This window comes from Homo sapiens, chromosome 20 (genome assembly GCF_000001405.40).
Source record: "Homo sapiens chromosome 20, GRCh38.p14 Primary Assembly".
Classification (NCBI taxonomy): Eukaryota; Metazoa; Chordata; class Mammalia; order Primates; family Hominidae; genus Homo; species Homo sapiens.
Genome location: NC_000020.11, coordinates 61,893,894 through 61,917,702, shown reverse-complemented (window position 1 = coordinate 61,917,702; position 23,809 = coordinate 61,893,894). Strand labels below are relative to the sequence as shown.

Here is a 23,809-nt window from a genome sequence, read left to right as displayed (position 1 = left end):
GCAGCTGGGCGTGTGCCTGAGCAGCAGCTCCAGCACCGGCTGGGCGGAGTGGGCAGGACCAGGTGGGGACACACCAGGACGTCTGCCCTGCTCCCCTCCGATGGGAGGCTCAGGAGCTTCCATTCAAAGTCTCACTCTGCGCCCCTGTCTTGGGGAGGAGTTGCCTGAACTGACCCCATCACTGACCTGCTCTCCCTGGAATTCCCACCTGCGAGCCTCCCACAGGAAGGCCAGCTCTGTTGCTGCCCGAAGGGGAAGTGGCAGAGGCCGGTTCTTGGCTTTTTAGCTTTAAAACTGAGGGCCATGGGTAAGACGAGAAAGAACCTGGGATGAGCCTGGACCTGGGCCTTGCTCCTTCAAGATAAGATTTCACAACTGGAGGAGGGAGACAAGAGGCCGTGCTGGGCCCTGAGGAGGGTATGATGGTAACAGATGGTATTTGGGTTTGGGGACCTGAGAGCGGAGAAGCTGTGTGCCCACCTCAGGTAGAGCCTGGGAGGTGGCAAGGCGCATTCCTCATCCCCGGCTGGTATGGCTAGGGAGATGGAATTGGGAGTGTGGGGCAGGACAGATCTGGATGACGTGCCCGAGATGCCTGTGGACTTCTTTTGACAGTGGCCGAGCTGGACCGCAGAAGTGAAGGATGATGCAGCCAGGATTTGGGTGACTGATGGCTGAGAACAGAGGTGACCAAACACCTCTGACAGTTGCCCAGGAGTGCTCTCCTTCCCTGCACAGGGCACTGCATCAGCCCAGAGCATAGACACAACTGTGTGAAAAGGGAGGCAGAAGAGATGCCAGTCTACCACTTACCACCACCTGGGGGGACCCAGCTAGAAACAGAAGCTAAGTCGGTTTAGAGAAGGAAAGAGCACACTGCTGCATTGCTGGATTTGGGGCTTCCAGTGTGTACCTGACAAAATATTTCACTGATTCCTCCTCACCATCCCCTCTGCAGACTATAAACTACTGAAGGTTGGGAGCAGTGACCTGGTCAGGTCTGCAGTGTACATACATGATATGGTGCCTGCTCTTCTGAGGGACTCAGGGGACCCTTCATGGAATTAAAGTAACCTTCATGCTCTGGGGAACTAAGCAGGGAGAATGATCAGGAGCCTCTCCCCAGCTCGGGACAGCAGTGACAATGAAGACGATGAGGATGATGATGATGATAACGAGAATGGTTATGATGACGACAGCAGCTAATACCATTGATTCAGTCCTTACCTTGTGCCGGGCACTGTGCCAAATCATTTATATCCAGGGTCTATTTCAGTGTGAGTCATAAGCCTCTGGGCATAGGCCCCACAATTTGCATCATTTTATGTTTGAGGTAACTGAGGCACAGAGAGATTAAGTGGCTGGTCCATGCCAGGGGTAAGTGAGCAAAGAGCTAGCGTGGGAATCTAAGAACAGATGCCCTCAAGATACTGGACATCTCCTGTGGGCTGGGCCATGGGGTCCCTGCACTGGCCTTCTACCTCCCACACCACCCGCCACTCCCCAACCCCTCCCCTCCACCCCACTCCCCTGCTCCGAAAGAGAATGCCTGAAAAGACGACGTCTCTACCAAAGAATGCAAAACCAATTTTGGAAATGTTTTCTAAGGCGAAGCATCCCCAGACTAAATACACACCTTAAACAGATTCTAAATTGAAACTTCAGAGAAAAGCACTATATGGAGTAAGAACAAAAATGAAAGAAAAAAGAAAAAGTGTGGTTCTCCTGTTGAATTCTACCTAGGACACAATGACCCATGACTCTTTGGGGACAGTGTGGCTGCAAGTCTGTGCTCTCAGCTCCTCAAATTTTAAAATTTATTTGAAAATTGACATGCAGTAAGAGTCACTCTCAGGAATGTTAACAAGTGTACGGAAGCACGGCCAGCCCCACGGCCAAGGTGCAGGAGAGTCCCGTCTCCTCCACGCTTCTCTCATGCTGTGCCTTTGCAGTCCCTTCCTCTCCACCCACCAGCAAAGCATTGAAGGGTTTTCTGTCCCCACAGTTTTGTCTTTTCCGGGATGTTCTGCAGATGGGGGCATGCAACAGGCCACCTTTTGGTTCTGACTCATCTCACTTAGTGTGATGCACTGGAGACCCATCGCGTGTCACATGGATCTCCCGTTTGTTCCTTTTGACGGCTGAGCAGCTTCCCATTATAGGACTTGGGCTTACAGCTGGGGAGAGGCATCATGGGGTCTCAGGGCCCCTGGGCTGGGGACCGTCAGCTGGGTCAGAGTTTCATGCTGCCTCAGGAGGCCTTGGACCCCTCCTCAAGCCTCCGTGTCCCCTCCTCATGGCACTAGGAAGGTTTCAGGCTGGTCAGACGGTACCATCTGGCCTTGCCAGGATGCCCTGGAAGAGGACTGGTTTCTGAGCAGACACAGCCCAGCCAGCCCTCAGCCTCGGCCTCAAACCTGTGGAACGTTGTCCTGAACACACACAGACACCTTGGCTCAGTCAGATAGGCAGGGCCAGCGAGGAACCTGGACGGTTAACAGATGGCTTTATGGCAGAGGTAGCAGGTTCCAGCCCCAGCTTGTACAGTCCCCACTGTGTGATCCTGTGTGTGGGCTCCCAGTTATGCCATCTGTGAAATGGGACAAGAATAGCACCTCCTTGGTGGGCGTGAGGACCAAGTGAGATGGGGGTGAGGATGGCACACCTGGTATCGGTGCCCAACGTCACTGTAGCTGATCACATTGGGGCCTGGCCTGAGGCTCCCTGGGAGTTTCAGGGTGCTGGAGATCTGGAGAAGTGCAGAAATAGGGACGGCACTAGTTCTCTAGGTCATGAAGACTTGAGCCAGCTGCAGCCCTCCAGGCACATGCAGCAGGCAGTGCTGTAGGAACTTGGTTTGCTCCTCCTTGTGCCCAGTGGGGAAGACGGCAGCTGTGAAAAGGTAAAATGCACCCCAAGCCCCAAATCTGAAAATCTGCAGATTTTCACATCTGGGTTTCTGCTGGTGGGTGCCAGCCCGCCTGTGGGTGTGGAGTGGCAGCACCTTTCTAGTTTCTGTTGCTCTGGTGGGAGATGCGGGGTACCAGGCAGGGGCTATGTTTGTTCCCCTGAGCATGGCAGGTCTCCAAGCCTCCCAGGCCTGAGGGATGGGGCCTGCAAGATCTGAGTCGATTCCAGGGTTATTCTGCTGAGGCTGAGCCCGCACCGATCTCCGTTGATTCCAGGGTTATTCTGCCGAGGCTGAGCCCGCACCCGGGAAGAAGAAGCACAAGTCCCAGTGGGATCTGTGTCCTGTGCTTTTCCCAAAGAGGGTTTTGAGGACTTCAATATTTAAAGAGGAAAGAGCAGACAGGAGAGGGAGGAGGAAAGGAGAAAAAAGCGGGGGCCGGGTAGGCAATGAGACAGTGGCTACATCCTTGCGAGGCTCTGCTTAGTGCTCAGTGGATCCACGTTTCACAGAAGCCGGGGTAGGTGTGTGAAGCCCCAGCTACCTGTGTGGCCACAGAAGGGAGGCAGCACCGTGAGACTCAGTCCCCATGCTCCACTTCCCTTGGCATAGTGGGTTTGGGGTCCTGAGGTTTCATCTTCCTTTCACAGGCCCCTCAATGGCCTCAGTGCCACTGATGTTGACTGGCTGTGGGGGGGCAGGAGGCACAGGTGGTGGGGAGATTTTAGCTACGAACGTGGCTCGCAGGCAGCACTCATCAACATCCTGAGAACCAGCGTTCTGTAGACATGCTTCGGGAAACCCCATTCTCACCACGTAGACAGAGGCCTGACAAGGAGAGGGTGGAGCTGGACAGGAGACCCTGATGGCTAGGGGAAGGGACGTGGCACAAACTCAGCAGAGGGTGGCCCGCTGCCAAGCTGTCACATGGCAATAGGTCAGTGAATGTGCCCGGCTGTGCCCACCTGGCTGCTGTCAGCACCTCCTCTCTGCCTCCAAAATTCATGCCCCACCCACCTGCCAGCCAGGGCCTTCCTGCTGTGAGGATATGGCTGCCAAGCAGCTGAGCCCTGGAGGAGTTACTCTCCCAGCGGCCTTCTCAGGAGCATCCCCAGCTGGAGGAAGAACCGGAAGGGGATGATTTCCCATCTCAGGAATCAGTTCCCGGGGTGGCGGTGCCCAGGCCCTCCTGGGACCCTCAGTCCATGCCCCACAGTCTAGTCTGTGCTATATGCTTGGAACCAGTGGCTCCTCTCTGAAGAACAGAAGAGGGCTCCGTGGGCCTGCCAAGGGGCTCCGTGGGCCTGCTGAGGGCCTGGCCCAGTGCCACGAGGCCCATGCAGTCCCAAGACACTGGCGCTTCCCTGAAGTTGGCTGTGCTCTTCCACTTTCCGTGGCTGTGATGCTCCGCGCAGATAGGGCCAGGCAGGCACATGACGGCTGAGGCCACCAGCCCCTGGGCTGGGCAGGAAGCCACCTTCCCTGGAGTCCTTAGGGGTCAGGCTTTCCCCACCACATCGAGCCAGCCTTCTTCCTTGGTACCGGCCCTTTCTGATCTATGTTGGGCTGATGAAGGTGGCGGGGCTGTGTGTGCTCCAGCTACAGAAGTGGCCCTCCAAGGGCAGGGGAGGTGAGACAGGTGCTGATCTCCTGGGGCCGGGGGCTGCCCGTTGTGCTCCCCGTGAAGGCCACAGAATCCGAGCTGTGGGAGTCAGAGATACCTCCTTGGAATCACAAGCAGGAGATGGGCCGAGGCTCGCTACTCACTGGGGAAGGCCCCAGCCAGCTCTGGGCTCACGGCTCACTCCTCTCCTCTGCCTGCATGTCACATCCAGTCTCCATCACCTTCCCATGAGCAACGTTGCCAGCAAAGCAGCTGACGATTCACCTTGTGGGTTTCTAGAGGCCAGAGCTAGAATGTTAGCTTGAGGTCAAATGCGCCCAGAGAAAAGGAGAAAGGGTTTGCCACATCCTTCCTCACCATGCCCAGTCCCTGCGCACACAGATCTGACTTTGCCACTGGGGGGCCGGCTGTGCTAATACCTCACTCTGAAAATTCATAATTAGAGGGGAAGTGAAACGTGTATTTTGCCTCTTCTCTAAGAACTATCTTTTACGGTGAAAAAATAGCCTCTCTTGAAGAAGAAAGCTTATACAGAGTTAGGGCTGGAATGCTGTGACATGCTAATTTACTTTCAAACATATCAGCCAAAATAAAAAGATTTAGTAAATGTAGCACAATGTTAATTAAATCTAGGTGATGGGTATACGGAAGTTCATTTCACTATTATTTCTGCTTGTGTGTATGTTTGAATATTTCATAAAATAAAAATGATGAAGAATTTATAAGATTTTTCAGGAGAACTGGTCTTCACTAGCTTGCTTACAAAAGAGGTTATTAAGAAAAGGAAAAAGATGACTTTGGGGTGTTGAGAAAAGACACAGATCCTGGAGAAAGCCTATTTTCTTCCCCTGTGATCTCCTAACATCTAGCTCCCCTCTTCCTTAGGAGAAGTTTGGGATATGTTTCCATAATTATGTTATGCAGTGTCTTCTCTGGCTAAGAATGGCCATGTGACTAAACTCTGCCCCAGAAGATGTGAACAGGTGTTCTGGGAAGGTCCCTTAATAAAGGAGGGGTGAGCCATTCTTCCCCCCTTTTTGATTTCCTACCGCCTGTAAAAGTCTCGTAATGGCTGGTGCTCTAGTAGCCATTTTGGACCACGAGGGGCCCTAGAAGCTGAAAGGTGTGCACAGCAGAGCAGAGGATAGAAGCAGCCAGGGTTTCTGTTGATTGTGCAGCTGTGACATTGGCCCCAACTGCCCACCTCAGACTCCTCTCACGTGAGAGAATACAACTCTCGAGTATTTAAATTTCTGTGGTTAAGTCTCTGCTCCGGGCTGCTGAAGGAAATTTCTAAATGATCCAACTCAAAATGAAACTTGCTTTTCCTTACGCTTTGGCATATCCTATCCAGCTTTAAGCTCACCTTGCTTTTCCTTACGCTTCGGCATATCCTATCCAGCTTTAAGCTCACCTTGCTTTTCCTTACGCTTCGGCATATCCTATCCAGCTTTAAGCTCACCTTGCTTTTCCTTATGCTTCGGCATATCCTATCCAGCTTTAAGCTCATCTTGCTTTTCCTTATGCTTTGGCATATCCTATCCAGCTTTAAGCTCATCTTGCTTTTCCTTACGCTTCGGCAGATCCTACCCAGCTTTAAGCTCACCATTCTGTCACCCCTCCTTTTCTCTAAAAATGCCCAATGTGCTCTTGCTCTTTTCTTCTTAGTCCTATTCAAAATTGTTTTGGGACAATAGCTGCTAAACTTCTTCACACTAAGTTGTAAACGATTGCTAAGTGTTATGATATAATTCCCAATCTGCCCTTCCAGGGGAATATGAATTATGAGTGTAGAAAAAGAGTTAGATTAGAAGACTGAATCACTACTACTATAATGATAGGCCTTTATAAGTAAATTTGAAAATTTAGATTAAATGGACACTTTTCTAGAAGAACATATCTGACCAAAACCATCAAAGAAATTGAACCAGTAGTTACAAACCGATCTCTCTCCAAAACAAAAAGAAGCACGACCAAAAAGACAAAATCTACAGCTACTCAATGGCTTCACAGCACAGTGTGACGAAACATTCAGGGGACAGATTATTACAGCATCATAAGACCTGTCTCTGGGACAGAAAAACTCTTGAGATTAGTCTGTAACCTTGATACCAAAACCCAGATGAGGACGCTATAGGCCTAAATCACCCAGAAAAGTACATGAAAAACTTCAAATATCAGCAAAACAAATTCTTCAATGTGTTACAAAATATTACCTCACTACTCAGTGGGATCTGTCTCAGGAATGCAAAGATGGTTTAACATTAGGAATTCTAATAATGAAATTCGCCCATTACTAGATTAGGGGGTGGGAGTGAATATATAGACATTGAAAAGGGAATGGGAGGGTATTTTTGGGGGGTCTGCCAAGCCCCTGAAGGTCACATGACAGGTCCTTGTGAAGGTTGTGTCTGCCTCCAGCAGGTTGGGTTACCTGCCTCTACCCTTGGATATTAGGGGGGCAGTAACTTTACACCGAGTATCACTCCTGTTTGACTGGTCCTAGGGAGTGTGCAGGTGGCAGAACTTGGGGTGCCTGGCAGGGTGTGAGAAGAGTACGCACCTTCACCACGGTGACCATGCCCTCGTTGGTTACGGGGTCTGTGCGGACGCTGAAGTGCCCGGATGGATCCCCACTGATGATGCGGTAAACGGCATTCCAGTTTGGAGAGTGGGGCTGATCTCGGTCCATCACCGTGAGGTTTGCGACCACGGTCTCCACGCGGTTTTCGGGGACCTCCCCTGCAAACTGCAAAATGGAAGGAAAGAATGTCACAAACCCGTGTTAAGTGTAAATATGCACAGAGAAGTGCACGTAGCATATGTGCAGCTCAACGAGTGTTCACAAACAGAACACACCGTGTCAGCCCAGCTCGAGTGTTCACAAACAGAACACACCGTGTCAGCCCAGCTCAACGAGTGTTCACAAACAGAACACAACGTGTCGGCCCAGCTCAAGGAGTGTTCACAAACAGAACACACCATGTCAGCCCAGCTCAAGGAGTGTTCACAAACAGAGCACACCGTGTCAGCCCAGCTCAACGAGTGTTCACAAACAGAACACACCGTGTCAGCCACGCCCAGATCAGGAATCAGAGAAGACAGGCTGCTCAGGGGTGCACGGGAGTGCACGCCTCATAGCACGGCTGCCGGGGCCCCACTGAAGCAGGCGTGCAGACCTGCCCGGCAGGTGCGTCAGCCCTGCAGCCACGGCAGAGGGCCACTGATGGAGCGGCTTCAACAATGGGCACTTCTTTTCATTCCCAGTCCCCACCCCAGACCCCTTCCAGGTCCCAAAGTTTCCACCTGTACTGGTTGAATGGTGTCCCCGAAGATATGGCCACATCTCAATCCTTGGAGCTAGAAATGCCACCTTGTAGGAAGAAAAGGTGCTGGAGGTAAGAATTCTGAGCTGGGGAGATTTTTCTGGATTATCCAGGTGGGAGCTAAATGCTACCATGTGCATCTTCAGAAGAGGGAGGCAGAGGGGATTTCACAAAGAAGAGAAGACGCAGACATATTCAGAAGGGGAGGCCGTGGGAGATGGGGGCAGAGACTAGAGTGATGCCACCACAAGCCCAGGAACACCAGGGTGGCCAGCAGAACCCGGAAGAGGCAGGAAGGGTTCTCCCTGGAGTCTTTAGAGGGAGCAAGACCCTGGTGATTTCCAACTGACAGAATAAATTCCTGTTGTTTCAAGCCCCTAGTTTGTGGCCATTTGTTGCAGGAACCTTGCAAGCTCATGCTGACTTCTGGCGTCACAGATGAGTTGACCTGGGTTTTTTCTTTACATGGGCGGAACCTTCCAGCACTTGTGTCTGGCTTCTGCTGGGCACTGTGGCTCTGGGATTCCTTTGTGTTGCTGCGTGCAGCTGAGATGGCTGAGCAGCGCTCTGTGATGTGACGGTGCTGTGATCAGGTACCCTTCCTCCCAGGACGGGCGCTGGAGCATCAGGACAGGGCTGCTGTGCACATCTGCAGGCAGCTCTGCTCCCCTTCCACCGGGAGTGTCCCCGGGTGGGAAGCCCCTGTGTCCTGGCATGAGGCACTGTTAGGGGCAGAATGTTGTGTCCTGGAGTTTCTGTGTGGAAGCCCTAAACCCCCAAGGCCTCAGAGTGTGACTGTATTTGGAGATGGGACTTTTAAAGAGGTGACCAAGTTAAAACAAGGCCGTTAGGGTGTCTGGGGAATTACCCAGGCCACCTTCACACCTGCCCTCAGCCAGGAGTCACGGAGAAGCCCTCAGGTGCAGCAAACAGAAACTTGCACTGGGGTGACCTGAACCCAGGAGCCTGACCTTCCAGGGCTGCAGGTGGCTGGGCCCGTTGGGACGGGGCTTTGTCCTTCCCCGGCCTCCCATGGTCAGGACCCTGCAGCTCGGCCTGGCCCTCTGGCTGCCTGAGAAGCACAGCTGTCCCTTCGGTAAGAAAGAGTCTTCCCGGAGTGCCCCTCCCCAGCTGACTTGTGCTGACACTCCCGTTGGACAGGGCGATGTCCCACGGCCACCACAAGCCCAAAGAAGGGAGCCTTGTGAGGTGGGAAACGGAGAAGGGGTGGGAAACGGGCGTCGGGCGGCCAGCAGACCGCGTCTGCCACAGGCAGGTCCTGCAAGGACAGAGAAGCACACAGAGGCCCCGAGGCAGCGGTTCTGGGCCCAGAATCTCAGAGCCGGTGTGAGAGGAGGCTGTGAGATGGCGCAGATTCACCCGACCCACCCGCGCCCCTTCCGTGCATCTGTCATGAGCGTGGAGGCCCCATTAGACCAGTGGACAAAGACATCAGGTGAACAGGGTCCGGGGAAATACAGATGGCGACTGTCCCTGCTGGCCCAATCAATGAATGAAGGAATGAGTGATAGCCTTCATATAAATGCACAAAAATGAAATACGCTGGTCCCCTTTCCCAGGCAGGAGCCGAGTCAGCATTCCTAAAAAGGACGGCGACGCGACAGAAGAATTCAGAGCCCACACCAACGGGCTGCCTTGTCAAGGATGGAAAAATATTCCAATTTAATCCCAGACAAACACTGCGTCCTTTCTCTGTATTTCAAAAGCTCAGAGAAAGTCCTTTAATCAGCCTCCTCGACCTGGGGCTCTAAGCTGGGCTGAAAACCCCGCAGCCCGGCCCAGCTCTGGGTCTGGTAGGAAGGGCCCTGCCTGTCACGTTTAGGTCCAAGCATTCACATCCCGATACAATCAGCTTGTTAGGAAGAAAAATTGTGGATTTATCCAAAGTGGGATCTCAGCCCTGTCTGTGGAGCAGGAGCCCTTCCTCACACGATGGCCACGCTCAGCCACAGATCTCATCTGAGGATTGGGAGGAACCGTCTTTGCTAAACTCCAGAGTGGACAGCTACCGCCCCCACCACTCCCGATGTCTAGTGTGGGACGGAATCTCCCAGCTGTCTCTGTTCCTGAGCCAGGTGGCCAGAGCCCGGAACCTGCAGCTGGGTACCCGGGGAGGCCTGGAGACGCTGACCTGGCCCTAGAGGAGGGAGCTTCGGGACTCACTCTGTCTTCCCTTCATCACACGTTTTGAGCCGCCCAGGAGTCAGATCGTCCCCCAGCAGGACAAGGAGCTGGCGCCGCCGTGGGACACACTGGGCCCTGCACTGCAAGGCATCATGGCATGGGGGATGGTGCCTACTGGGGGATAGCAGGGGCGACTCAGGCCATGGTTGGAGATCCATATGTTCTGGGGGTGAGAACATGCCTGAGAGTGAGGTACAGGGAGCTGCCTGCCTGATCTCAGCCCTGCAGTCCTTGGGTGTGAGAGGACAGCCCTTGCTGAGGCTGTGGCCACACGGGATCCTGGGCGGCCAGGCCCCGGGCAGAGGACCACTGCAGGGGGACATTCAAGGAAGCTTCGCTGAGGCCTGTGAACAAGTTCCAGAAGGGCCGGGGAATGGGCGGGAGGGGCAGCCCTCCTCAGCCAGGTCCGTGTTGCTGTGAGTCTAGGAGCTGACCTGGTGCCCGGGGGGGCCTGGGGGTGGGACAGAGCTGTGAGGTGGAGGTGATAGTCCCCCTGGTGTCCTCAGGGGAGGTGGTAGCTGGGTCACATTATACACTCCCTGCTTGGACCATCTCCAGGCAGAGGTGGTGGTGGGAGGGCCTCAGGGTTGGGGGAGCTTTGCAGACCTGGAGCAGGGAGGAGGGTGGCCTGCCCCATCGTCAGTGAGGCAGGCAGGTGACCCCTGCAGTGGCTGGTGGAGGACTCAAGGCCAGTGAGCTCCCCTGACCCCGGAGATCTGAGTTGCAAAATGTCCTGGGTGCCAGGACCCTGAGCCCTCTCCAGAGATGCCATGAACACACAGACGCTGCTCTGGCCAGGCCCCACAGCACACACCACTGGTCTCTGACACCTGACCCCGGGCCATTCCCTCTGCTGGGGACACCGTCTTGCCCCAAAGCAGCCTGCCAGGGCCCACAGCACACACTGCTGGGCTCTGACACCTGGCCCCGGGCCATTCCCTCTGCTGGGGACACCGTCTTGCCCCAAAGCAGCCTGCCAGGGCCCCGTAGCACACACTGCTGGGCTCTGACACCTGGCTCAGGGCCACTCCCTCCGCTGGGGACACTGCCTTGCCCCCAAAGCAGCCTGCCTGAATCTTAGGGCGCTTCTCCTTCCTTGAGTGAAAACCTGCTGGCCTCCCCCGGGAGCCACTTGGCAGCCCTCTGTAGCTTCTGGCCTTCAGGCCTCTGTGGGAGGGTTGAGCAGGACCATGCCGCTCCGGTCCTGCGGCCATGTCACCCCAAGTTTCCTTAAGGGCTTGGTGGGATGAAGGGCTCTGGTCAGCTTGGTCTAGTGTGGTGTTGGCCCGAGGCCTGTTTTTATAAATAAAGTTTTATTGACACCCAGCCACACCCCATTCATTTACATATCACCCGTGGCTGCTTTCCTGCCCCAACAGTGGCATTGAGTCGCAGTAACAGAGACAGCCTGACCATAGATGAAAATACTATCTGGTCCTTCACTGAAAATGCTTCAGATCCTTGTTCTCCACCCCTGAGGCCCCCGCCTCAATAACTGGTTTGAAATAGGCTAATGACCTAAGTCAGCCAATTAGGGGTCAGTTCTGGCGGCCCCTGCGTCTGGCCTGGGCATGGTAACCACGTGAATCTGAAGGTGTTGGGTTGGTTGGGAGCCGCCATTCGCAGCCTGAGAACAAAGCCGGCTGGAGGAAGCATGGTCCAGGGGAGCGTCATGGTGAGCTGGTGGAGCCTAGATCCAGCCATGCCTGAAGGGAGAGATTTTCCAAGACTTCTCAGCTCTTGTGAGATGAGCCACTCTCTTTTTTTTCAAGCTGCCAGGGTCAGCATAGTGGTCATTAGTGAGGCTTCCTGGTTCCCCTGCACCTTCTGAATTCCCTTCCTTATTTTCCAGATATCCACTTTCCTGGCCTCCTCTACAGCCACAACCAGGTAAGTGACCTAGGGACATGCCAGCCAGGTGCACCTGGCTGTCTGTGGTTCAGAAGAGAGGCAGAGAGGGCCTGATCCTGGCAAACTGCAGAGATTCCTTGAGCTTTGGAGCCAGCAGAGGCAGAAGGTGTGGCTAGCACCCTTGCAGGCAGCAGGGGCAAGGCTCTGTGCCTAGTGGTGGGGGCAGGAGGGCACCCTCCTGGTGGAGCGGCCGTGCCTGAAGCTCCTGGCCCCTTGGATTTTGTGGCCCCTCACATCCTCTGTAGCGTCTGTCTCTGCTTACATGGCCAGGTGGGTCCTGGTGTTGTCTGCTGTTTTAGCGAGGGCCTGTCTGACGCTTCTCCACTCACTCCCGTCCTTCTGAGGAGGGAGCGCGGCGCTCTCTGCGTCCATTCCCTTGCAGACTTCTGAGTGAAGTTTATACAAAGAGTCTATTCTAAATCATGCAAGTTTAATAAAGGTTCACAAAGAAGGCCTTAGCTGATAAATCTGGTTTAGAATTTTCTTATTAACCTTCCCCCAGCCATAATGACTTTTAAATTTAATTTTTTCAGATTTTCCGACACAAGGAAAGCCTCTCAGGCCCCTTGGGATGAAAAGGCAGGTATTTGGGAAAGGAGAAATTTTAAGAGCATCGGAATGGAATTTGTTGCCGAGACTGTAATCTAGAATTCAACTGTGCACCCATCCCGAGAGGTAGGAGGATTTTGTCTTCCTACGAGGGCCTTCCGGCACAATCCCAGCTCTGAGGCAGAAACTGTGAGCTTCTCAGGGGAAGGTCACCATTCGCAAGAGGAGGATTTGGGCAGGAACCCTGCAGCACAGCCGGTGTTTCAGGAAAAACCCACCCAGCTGTTCCCTTATGATGTCAGTGGGCGGTCAGGGCCGAGAGGGCCAGGCCCCATCCACACAATGTCCAGCAAGACCCTGGGGCCTCCAAGGCACCTATGCTGGGGCCACGGTGGTCCTGTCTTCAGGGAGAAGTCCCGCATCTGCCACACGGCAAGCGGCCACGTGGGAGGCAGTGGGAGGGAAGTTCTGTTCCCCACAGCAGGGTGGTCCCCTCTGTGTCACGGGGAGGAGGGAGCCCGTTCTTCAGGAGGCTGTGGGGTCGGATGGGCTGGCACAGTCAGGGCACTCGGTGCAGCACCTGGTACAGGGTCGGTGCCCACCTGCTGCTGTAATGACCAGGGCTAAGGGGTGGATTTCTGTGCCTGCCGAGATGCCGAGAGACCAGGGGGACACGGTGCAGACAAAGCTGACTTCTGGCTGGTGGGCGTGAGGACTCCAGCCCAGGCAGGTGTTTCATCAAGAAAGAAGGGGGCCAGGGGAGAGACGGAAGAGGGAGAAGCTGCCGGAGAGTCCCCAGGGAGAGCACAGGGCACACCCTGTCCCACATCCCACCAGTTCCCAGCAGCTGCCTGGTGACCCCCATGCTCCATGACCATGAACTCCAGGTACCCAGAGGACTGGGAGCCCCACGAGAGAGCCGCAGCCCCTGGCACGCCTGCGCCCCTTCCAGTGAGTTGCTGCCGTGCTGATCCTCATGCCCCTAACATCCAATCCCTGGTGGAGGCCCCGATGACGGCTCCCGCCAGCTCGGTGTGGGTGGGGCTACGGGCCCTGCAGCCCATACTCTCAGGACTGGCTGCTGTCCCCCGCTGGGGCAAGCCCACAGGACGCCGGCTTGGGGGAAGTCCCAGGGGCGGCCACTCAGATGCCTCCAAAGCACCAAGAGAAGCCACATTTGCAAGAGCAGAAACGCAAAACAGCTGGCAGCGGGCAGCAGCAGAGAGGAGAAGCTTGCGGGCCCTCGCAAGGAGACAGGCCTGTCTCAGAGAAGGGGCACCTTGGGCTCATGCTGGTGACAACCCCAGGGAAACAGAATGACAGCATTTTGGGAGCAGGAGGCAGAGGGGATTATATTATTGTTCCCATTTTGCAGGTAACGAAACTGAGGCTCCAGGAGGCAACCTGCCCGAGGTCACCAGCGGTGGGGAAGGGTCGCTGAGGCTGCACTGGCCCCCTGGGGGCTGCCTCTCGGCCCCATACCCTGCTTGTCTTGAGAGGTCACCTTCACGGTTTTTGTTTGGAATGGGGAATTATACATCCGCGAATGAATAACAATTGCTCATGGTAGAAAAATGGGAAAAACCAAAATCCACAGAAATAAAATATGTACATTTACACTTTTTTTTTTTTTTTTTTTATGGAGTCTCTTCTGCTGCCCACGCTGGAGTGCAATTGCTCGATCTTGGCTCACTGCAACCTCCACTTCCTGTGTTCAAGCAATTCTTCTGCCTCAGCCTCGTGAGTAGCTGGGATTACAAGCACCCGCCATCATGCCCAGCTAATTTTTGTATTTTTGTAGAGACGGGGTTTCACCATGTTGGCCAGGCTGATCTTGAACTCCTGACCTCAGGTGATCTGCCCGCCTCGGCCTCCCAAAGTGCTGGGATTACAGGCGTGAGCCACCATGCCTGGCCTTACAGATTTTAAATATGTAGATTAACCTCTGAGGAGCAGGGGCTGTGACTGCTTTGGTTTTCTCTGTAGCTGTCCTGTACCCTGGCATAGGGAGTGCCCAGTGCGGGGTGAAATAATGAATGAATGAATGAATGTGCAAACATAATGAACAAGGCCTGGCACGTGGCACACGAAGTTTCCTAAGATATTTAGTTTTTTAATTCAATGCTAATACTGTGTGTCTTTTTTTTTTTTTTTTTTTTTTTTGAGACAGTCTTGCTCTGTTGCCCAGGCTGGAGTTTAGTGGCATGATCACACCTCACTGCAGCCTCGAACTCCTGGGCTCAAGTGATCCTCCTGCCTCGGCCTCCCATGTAGCTGGAGCTACAGGCCTGTGCCACCTCTGCTGTGTGTGGTGTGAGATTTTTAATCAGCTCTCTGAGACAGGTGGTGACGAGGCGCTGACCTCATACTTAGACGTCTGCAATGCTAGAATCTTCCTCCTTCAAATATTCCCAAAACGACACCTATGTAGCCTCTTTGCTATAGGTGAAGTCAGGGCTCGACAACAAGCCTGTGGCCTGAATCTTTTTGTTTTTGTAAATAAAGTTTATTGGGACATGGCCACACCCACTCGCTTCTGTTTTGTCTGTGGTTGTTTTTGTCCTACAATGGCGGAGTTTCGGAGTTGCCACGGAGACCTTCCGGCAGCCAAAGCGCAAACATTTACTCTCCAGACCATTCAAGAAAAGGTGTGCCTGTCCCTGTGTCAACGGCCGCTCATTTGCCTGCAAATCCCTGGGAAGGTGGGGCCCCGCACGCTCCTCTGTGGATCTGCCCTTGCACTCCTGCAACGAGCACGGGAGCGGTTCTGCGGGGTGGTGACCGCGTGCCCCAGGGCATGGCTGGCATTTAGGGCACTGCCCATAGACCCCGGGTCTCCGTGGCTGGTGAAGGGCAGAGTGAGGCTGCTTCTCCTGGAATGGAGGCCCCGGGGGTCCTGGTTTCAGAGGCCCCGGCTTGACCTTTTCTGCCTCTGCATCGTTCATCCGTTTGTGCTGCCTGCCCTGCTCTGAAAACGGCCATCCACGATGCCTCCACGCCTGCCGAGGACCCGCCTTTCACGATTCTGGAACTCCAAGGACTGAACACGTCATGGTTTGAATTTCCATCAGTTGCTGGAAGCCAGAAGGTGCCCCTGGCTCCAGGCTGCTCCTCAGGTGTGACACGCAGGACTGCATCTTGGTGATTTGCTGCTGTACTTAATTTTTGTCTGTCCCTCCCACATCCTGTTTCCTGGCAACTAGACTAGTGGCGGTGAGTCAATATCTCATAAAGATGAGCCACGGCCGACTGCGAACTTTACTTCCACCTCTGACGGACAGTGGTGCCACTGAGGCCCAGCTTTGTCTCCTGGAAGGCTCAGGACCTCCTTTTGCCTCTTCCCACGGAGCAGGTCTGAATGAGCGGAAATGGGACTCTGCTGCTGCCCTTGTCACCCCAACCCCATGGGCCAGCGTGGGATTGATGCTTTCACTGAGCTGCCGCTTACTCAGAAGCGTCCGGCTGGTCCTAATGAGGCCTTGACGTTCCCAGCCACCCGGCGTTGGGTGCTGCTTCTCCCGGCCGGAGCCCGGTGTGGACGAGGGCATCTAATTGGAGGGAAGTGCCCAAGCCTGGTGCTCTTGCCCAGCCGGAGCTCAGCGGATCCATCACTGTAACTAGCACAGCTGAGCGCCGGCCCTGACGGCTCCTGTCTGGCTGGGGTGTGGTCTGCTGCGCCCCCCGACGGGGCTGGGAGCCACCTGGGGACACAGCCAGCTGTAGTTCTCTGTTCTGTGATTGCTTGCATTGGAAAATTGATAGCGTAAACCTACAAACCACAGCTCCTTTGGACATTACAACATTATTGCTTTTTGCAATTCTGTGTTCTATTCAGTAAAACAGTGACGATTTCTGCTGAGTTCTGAGTTCACAAATCAGAATTGTCGGATCTGTGGCTCTTGTGACCAGAAGGAAGTTGCAGGCCCTGCCCCTGCCCCTGCCCCTGCCCCTGCCCCTACTCCTCCTGCTCCTGCTCCTGCTCACTGCAATACCCGCTTGAGTGAAAGGACCAGTCATTTAGCTAAAAATTAACCTGAAACCCCTTTTTGGGCTTTTGGGTCCATAGACCAGATTGGCTTGCTCCCTTCCCAGAAAGGACAGAGAGGTTGACCCATCTTCTTACCCGGGATTGGAGCACAACTTCAGGCAGCTCCTGTCAGCAGCTCATCTGTGCCAGGGTGAAGGACACAATTGCTATCAATCGGCATTATTAATCATACAACAGCCACGATGGCCATATTGTTGCTGTTTTACTCATTGGTCTTTCTTTGAGTCAGGTACGCTGCCAAGGGACTGATATCCGGGAATATTCGGTCCTCACACACCCATCAGGCAGGAACAGATGAGGAAAGGGAGGCAACTTGCCCAAGGTCAGCAGCTGGTCAGTTGTGGAGCCAGGCTTGAAGCTGGGGAGTCTGGCCCAGCGCCCACCCCCAACCCCTGGGCCCCATCTCTCCCATGCAGCTTGGACAGGCGGGTCCAAGGAGGCCTGAGAGACTGGCGGAAGCACCGCGGCTGGGAGGACTAAGTCTTGACCCCCAGGCTGAGGGACCTCAAGTTTCTGTGTGTCTCTGCCTTGGGCTTGTCCTTTCCAGTCCGCCATTCCCCCACGTCTCTGGGCCTGTGTCCTGTTGGTCCCTGCCCCAGGGTGGACCCAGAGTTGGCCTCTCAGAAGCGCCCCCTCTGCAGCCGTCTCTGGGAAGCCGTCCCTGGTAGGAGGAGCAAGGAGGCGGGAGGTGATGTCGGGTGGGTGGGAGCTCCTGGTCCCTGCGGCTGCCACCTCTGTGCTCGGAAAAGTTGGCTCCAATTAATGATTTATGGCCGAGGCTTGCACTGTGCGGCCGAGGCTTGCACTGTGCACCCAAGCGTAATTAAGGGCACTGAGTCCGTTCTAATTTTAAGATGCCAAATTCCTGTGCTCAGGAACTCACGCTGAATCGTAATTTCTCCCTTCTTCTGCAGAAGTCAGGGACTCACAGGGCTTGGCCAGAGTGGGCACGCAGCCAGGCTTGAGGGGCTGGGGATCTGTGGGCGAGAGCTGCCCTGGGTCAGCCCAGCCAGTCCCCCCCGCTGAGGCTGGCCAGTAGCCTGTCTGCCCTGCAGAGCTGGGGCTGCCCTTCTTCCTGGCCAGGAGGGTCACTTCCGAGGAGGGACCGCAGGCAGCATCCTCGGGCGGCTTGGGGAGGGAACTTCCAGAAGGACCTCAAAAACATGGGGACCACAGACCCACAGACCCCAGGGCTCCTAAGTTCAGCTGACACCCTGCCTCTGGCAAAACCATTTTTAACCCCTTTGAGAGAAAAATCTGTATTTCCACATCAACTGTGATAACCAGGCACTGGCTGAGCTGGGCACATCCTAAACGCTGGGGACCCACTCATCCTGTCCTCGGAGACCCTGTGGGGAAACCACCACGACTCCCTTCCCTCTTTATTCAAAAAATATTTAACCTGGGCTGGGTGCGGTGGCTCACACCTGTAATCCCAGCAGTTTGGGAGGCCGAGGTGGGCGGATCACGAGGTCAGGAGATCAAGACCATCCTGGCTAACACAGTGAAACCCCATCACTACTAAGAATACAAAAAATTAGCCGGGCGTGGTGGCAGGCGCCTGTAGTTCCAGCTACTCGGGAGGCTGAGGTAGGAGAATGGCGTGAACCCAGGAGGCGGAGGTTGCAGTGAGCCGAGACCACGCCACTGCACTCCAGCCTGGGCGACAGAGCGAGACTCTGTCTCAAAAAAGAAAAAAATTAACCTGATTTTATTCATGCTTGCTTGGGACGGGGAATAGATCATTCACAAAAGACATACAGTAAAAACAAAATATGTCTTATCATGTATGCATTTTAAACTACAACAATGATATACCACCTCCCTCTTCTTTTCTTTTTTTTTTTTGAGACAGGCTAGTGTGCAATGGTGCAATCTCGATTCACTGCACCCTCCACCTCCCAGGTTCAAGCAGTTCTCTGCCTCAGCCTCTTGAGTAGCTGGGATTACAGGTGCGCACCACCACACCCGGCTAATTTTTTTTTAAAATATATATTTTTAGTAGAGATGGGGTTTCACATCTTGGCCAGGCTGGTCTTGAACTCCGGACCTCGTGATCCACCCACCTTGGCCTCCCAAAGTGCTGGGATTACAGGCTTGGGCCACTGCGCCCGGCCCTCCCTCTTCTTTTAACAGCTGGGGAAACTGGGCTGAGAAGGTTTTGGTGACATTGTTGTAAGCCCCTCACCTATGAAAGACCGAGACGGGACAGGACTCCAGGTCTGTTAAAGCTGGAACCTTGTCTGCTCGCCACCCAGCTCCATGCCCCTGGGATGGGGGTCTGGGCACCACCCATGGCATTTTTAGAGCAGATTTATATTGCTGAAGTCTTAAACTTTCACATAGATCAGCAGTGCTCCCGACGACACCTTGAGGTGGGATTAATTCTAGGTGGAAAGCCGGGATAAAATCCTGCGGCTCAGAGAGGTCCAGCTCTCCGGCCTTGGCTACACAGCAGGCAGGGACCAAGGGTGGGGCCAGGGCTGGGCTTCCTGACTCCAGGGGACCCCCCCTCCGTGAGCATGTGTGTGGATGGGGTGGGGGTGGCCTGGAGGAAGGCCTGTGATGCCAGATCTCCAGGGTCACTCTGTGCTGTCTGGACCTGTCCCTGAGAACTTCACTGCAGGACCCATCGGTGTTAATAGGAGGCTTTGGGGCAGGGTCTGAAGCTTGTGTCCTCTGTGGCCACCAGCTTCTAGCGCAGCAGACCCCATGCTCACCTGCTGGAGGGAGTGCTGAGGGCCGAGGGTCCCCACTCAGCCTCACGTGGGCAGTGCAGCCGCGCTCAGAGCCAGTGAAGGGAAAATAACTTTTAATTAACATTTAGGACTCAGAATCGGATCATGCAAATCCCCTGCATCTCTGTAGCTTCTGCTGATTGTTCTTGATTAGGCTTGGTAAAAATAGCCTGGCGGCATGTGCGGCAGTGTGGCCGGCCTTCGCCATCCTGCTGGCCCCTCTGCCTGCTCCGTCCCACGGTGAGGCATGGACAGTGTCCCGGGGCTCCTGCCTGTCACCCATCTCTAGGAGGACACACCAAGGGCCATCCTAACCCCGAGTATTTACTGACACCCCTTCTCCAGGACCATGCGACCCAGTCACCTGGAAAAGCCACCGCAGGGTGGAGGGAACCCTCCCTGCCAGGGTCATCCGTCCATTGTCCACCCACTAGCATGTCACCCCGCCGGCCTGACCAAAGCAGTGGACTGCAGATCCTCTCCCGGACTGTGTTAGACTGGGAGGTGCCGCAGACACTGGCTGAGAAGCATCTAGACATATCTGCGTACTCCTCAAGAGATGCCGTTCCCCTGCCCCGTGATCTGGGGTCTGGGACCTGCCTGAGGCCCCCTGGAACCAAGGATGGACAATGGCCCATCTCTGGGAGGCGCACGAGGCTGCAGTAGCCTGTGCTTAGCCATTGGAAAAGCACAGAGACGCCTCTCTCTAATAAATGCCATGGGGACCCTCTGCCCCAGTCCCAGGAGGAGGAGCCCCAGGGTGGTGTGGCCGGTCAGCAGTTGCGGCGAGGGTAGCTCAGTGCCAAGGGCTGCTTAGTGCTGGTCAGTGGGGGTGGCTGGTCAGTGCTGGTGGCTAGTCAGTCCTCATGGCTGGTCAGTGTTGGTTAGTGCTGGTCAGTGCTGGTGGCTGGTCATTTCTGGTCAGTGCTGGTAAATGGTGGTGGCTGGTCAGCGCTGGTGGCTGATCAGTGCTGGTCAGTGCTTATGCTGGTCAGTGCTTGTGGCTGGTCCACTAGGTCTAGAAGGGCCTCTGCCTTGGCCTCCCAGAGTCTCGGGATGGGGACCAGAGATGAGGGGTAGGGCTTGCCTCCCAGAGTCTCGGGATGGGGACCAGAGACGAGGGGTAGGGCTTGCAATGGAATGATGGGATTCTCTGAATTTTGGGATTTAGGACCACAATGCCCCTTGTTTATCTTCTGCCCCCCAACGTCTCAGAGAATCAGGCCATCCCCACCTTTCGTTCATGGGGACACAGAGGCAGGAATTCTCCCCTGCAATGTGCTTTAAGTTGCCTTGAGTCAAATGCAGAATTCTGTGGGGGGCTCAGTGTGACTCCCTGGGCTGGCCGTTTTTCAGAGCATGTGCAGGTCAGGGACATCCTGCCGGTTCTCCATCTTCCTTCACAGGGATGCTGGCTCCGAGAAAGGCAGAGACACCTGCTCCACACAATTTGGGTCACCTTCTCCCCTCCCTCCCTGCCATCACTTCCTTTTCTTTCTCGGAGTCAGGGAGGAAGGACAGCTGGGGCTGTCCGGCCAGCTGTGTGGGTGCAGCCCTGCTGCGCTCTTGGGCCTGGACGTTATTATTCTTCAGGGCCCTGGGGTTAGCAGCTGCTTCCCCTATGTCCAGACTCCCCGGCAGCCTGGCCCTGAGCTTTTCCTGACCATTGCTCACTGGCCGGAAGAGAGCAAATAGAGACTGAAGCCAAGAGAGAGAAGCAGGTGTTTTCCAAACCATCTGAACGCCTTCCTGGCCAATTGTATGAGAGCTGTTGCATCCTGGGGCTGCGCCCGGTTAAATGCTCCTCGGGCTCCTGGTTGCCCTGGCCGCTTGCTGCCTGGACTCACTGCCAGGAGCCTGGGGGAGCACCTAGAGCCCCCCTGCCCTGCTGCAGTGGGGCTGAGCTGGCTTCCTTCGCTGTGATCTGCCATCTTCCCACCAGATGGCGTTGTGTGCTCACAGCCACCTCCGCCTGGTGCAGCTGCGCCCCAGGCCTGGGATGCAGGACGCAGGAGGCCCAGATGCGGGACGGCCGCTGTGGCGAGGGGCTCTGGCCTTAGTTGCCTTCTCAGCAAGCCGGCCCACCCACCGGGAGGAGCGTCTCCCTCCTGACCCCATCCCTTCCCCTCTCCCTCTTAGCCTCCCGGAGCCCAGAGTCCTCATCTGTCACTGGGTTGGTCGGGGTTGGCTGGGATCAGAGGCTAGCTCTGCACCCTGGCTGTACCCTGGCCGCACCCTGGCCTCACCCTGGTGCCCGAGGGGCACCTCCACAGATGCAGCTGGTGTGCCACTGTCATTGCTATCATGACTGACACACAGCTCTGCGGGGGCCTAGGCCTGGGGGAGAAGGGGGTGATATGGTGGTAGGAGCAGAGAAGACCCTGAGATCCTGGCATCTCAGGGCCACGGCCACTCTGGGAGCCCTCGCTGACTCTCCCCTCTGCACGTCCCAGCCTGGTGCCTTCGACCTTTCTAGAGGGGCTCCCGGGGCTGGGCCACGTGCCCATGATGTCAGCACTGCCACACGGGGCCCAAAATGACAGCCTGGGGACACCGTGTCACACCCCATGGACCCAGGGAATCACCACAAAGGGTCCTGGTTGGTAAGCAGGGCGACAGCCAAGGCCGGGACCTCCCCAGATCGCTGGGCAGCAGGGAAGTGGGGTCATCAAATGTCTGTCGGCGCAGTGGCCTCTGCAGATTTCAAGGGAAGGGTCCCTCCTGGTGGTGCAGCTGCCCTGCTGGAATCCAGAGGAAGTGGGGGCTGCATGCCTTACAGCCCTGTCTCCACCGTGTTCCCACCAGAGAGAGTTTGGTCCCCTGTGAACTAGGGGCTCGGGGCTCACACTGGACTTTCAACAACATTCAGTGAATGGTCACTCAGGCCCCAGGCAGCCGGTATGGGGCCCAGTCACAACCCCCTTTCTGCCGACAGCAGGCCACAGAGGGTCAGCCAAGTTCCACACACAGGGATGGACCCGCCATGCCAAGGCCCCATCTGGGCATTCCCCAAGCGGGTCCCACACGCAGGCCTTCCAAAGTGGCAGTGACATCAGCCCAGGCAGTACCAGTCAACTCCTCCAGACATCACAGAGATGCCTCCCAGGTGGCAACCGACCTCCGCCGCCGGTCCCCTCCCTGACTGAGCCCCGGCCTCTCTCCTACTGCGCACATCAGGAATCGAGCCACTCCACACAGCAGCCTCCGCTGCCCAGGGCCTTTCTTACACGCTATCTGCCAAGTGCCCGTCAGGCAGAGCCGCAGAGAGAGAGGAGGCTGTGCCGCACGCCAGTGCATTCCTGCCCTGCACGGGCCATGCGTCACTGGGCAGCTTCGAGGGACTCACCGTGCTGGCGGTAAATTCTGGCGGGTTGTCATTCACATCTGTCACCGTGATGATGGCTGTGGCTGTGTTTGAGAGGCCATAGTTGAGATTTCCTTCCATATCTGTGGCCTGAACGATGACTGTGTACTGCTGAACTTTCTGGAAGGGAGACACCAGTTGAGAAAGAACAGAAAATCAGTTTGGGTTTTAATTGACAGGGCACTTATCAAAAGAAATCCGTTTACAGGAACGGAGTTCCTGGAACCGGTTCTCTTTCACTGGGGGCTGTGTGCTGGGCGCAGGGCCCTTTCCAAGCCTCCTGGTTGACACTGCCTGTCGGAGTAAGTTTCTCCTCCCCTTGCCATGCGTTAAGGTGCGGCATGAAGAGGTTTGCCTGTGTTTTCATCTCAGTGGCCCTGCCGTTGATAGGGGCAGATCACGTTTGGTGCCAAGATAGAAGGGAGGAGAACAGGGGAGCCCAGAGGGCACTGGGGTTGCATTCGGTCTAGAAAACCAAGCAGGGACAGTTTGCAAAGGGAGGGATGCCCCACAGACGCGGGTCAGGAGGGACTTCGTTTCTTGAGTGTTTAGCTTGTCCAGCTGAACTACAGGTCAGATATTCAAATGGGAAGAAAAGACAAACCCTTTCCCTTCTCTGTGCAGGTGCGGAGATGCAAGCATGCTTTCTGCTGGAAAAGCAGTCCTGACAGTTTACCGTGCAGGCGCAGGTGTGAGCTTTAAATGGCAAATAAGTCTTGGCAGGATGAATGCATTTTATTAGGCATTGAAGGAGTCTGATGGCCTTTCTCCTCAGGGCCCTTGCTGGGAGTCCATCAGTGCCAAAATCCCTGAGCTGGCAGAGGTGGCTTTTCCACACCTCTGTTCTGACCCAGAGGCCATGAACTTCTGAGGTGACAGCTGAGGACAGGCTTGTGGGCAGCTCCCTGCTGGGACCACAGCCCGCCTCTCACCAGTACCATTAGGGGAGGGGGATTCTGGGGACCAAAGCGAAAAGGGAACCTGTGAAATGCTCTCCAAGTGACTAACAATCCTGAGTCGTGCTTCTCTAAGAGGTTAAGGGAAAAGACCAGCTCCTAGCGGTGTGATTCAGTGAAACGTGCTCAAGTTCCATAAACTGGCTCCGTAAGGAATTACAAACAGCAGATGGTCACCAA

At 55.3% G+C, this 23,809-nt stretch overlaps 1 protein-coding gene across 5 annotated transcripts in view, besides 1 other annotated feature; it reads right to left on the bottom strand.

Moving 5' to 3' along the window:
- CDH4 (cadherin 4) overlaps positions 1–23,809 on the bottom strand; it is a 688,357-nt gene that overhangs the window by 22,915 nt on the left and 641,633 nt on the right. For all 5 annotated transcript variants that reach the window (NM_001794.5, XM_047439812.1, XM_047439813.1 and 2 more), the window contains 2 exons: positions 22,656–22,793; positions 7,096–7,281 (listed from right to left, as the gene is read on the bottom strand). In NM_001794.5, coding sequence (NP_001785.2) covers positions 7,096–7,281; positions 22,656–22,793 — 324 coding nt within the window. The remainder of the gene's footprint in view (positions 1–7,095; positions 7,282–22,655; positions 22,794–23,809) is intronic.
- Positions 15,728–16,621: an enhancer, noted in NCBI's record as "H3K4me1 hESC enhancer chr20:60476138-60477031 (GRCh37/hg19 assembly coordinates)". NCBI's record gives its function as "activates a minimal SCP1, AML or CMV promoter by ChIP-STARR-seq in primed H9 embryonic stem cells {active_cell/tissue: H9 hESC(primed)}" and the evidence as "EXISTENCE:reporter gene assay evidence [ECO:0000049][PMID:30033119]".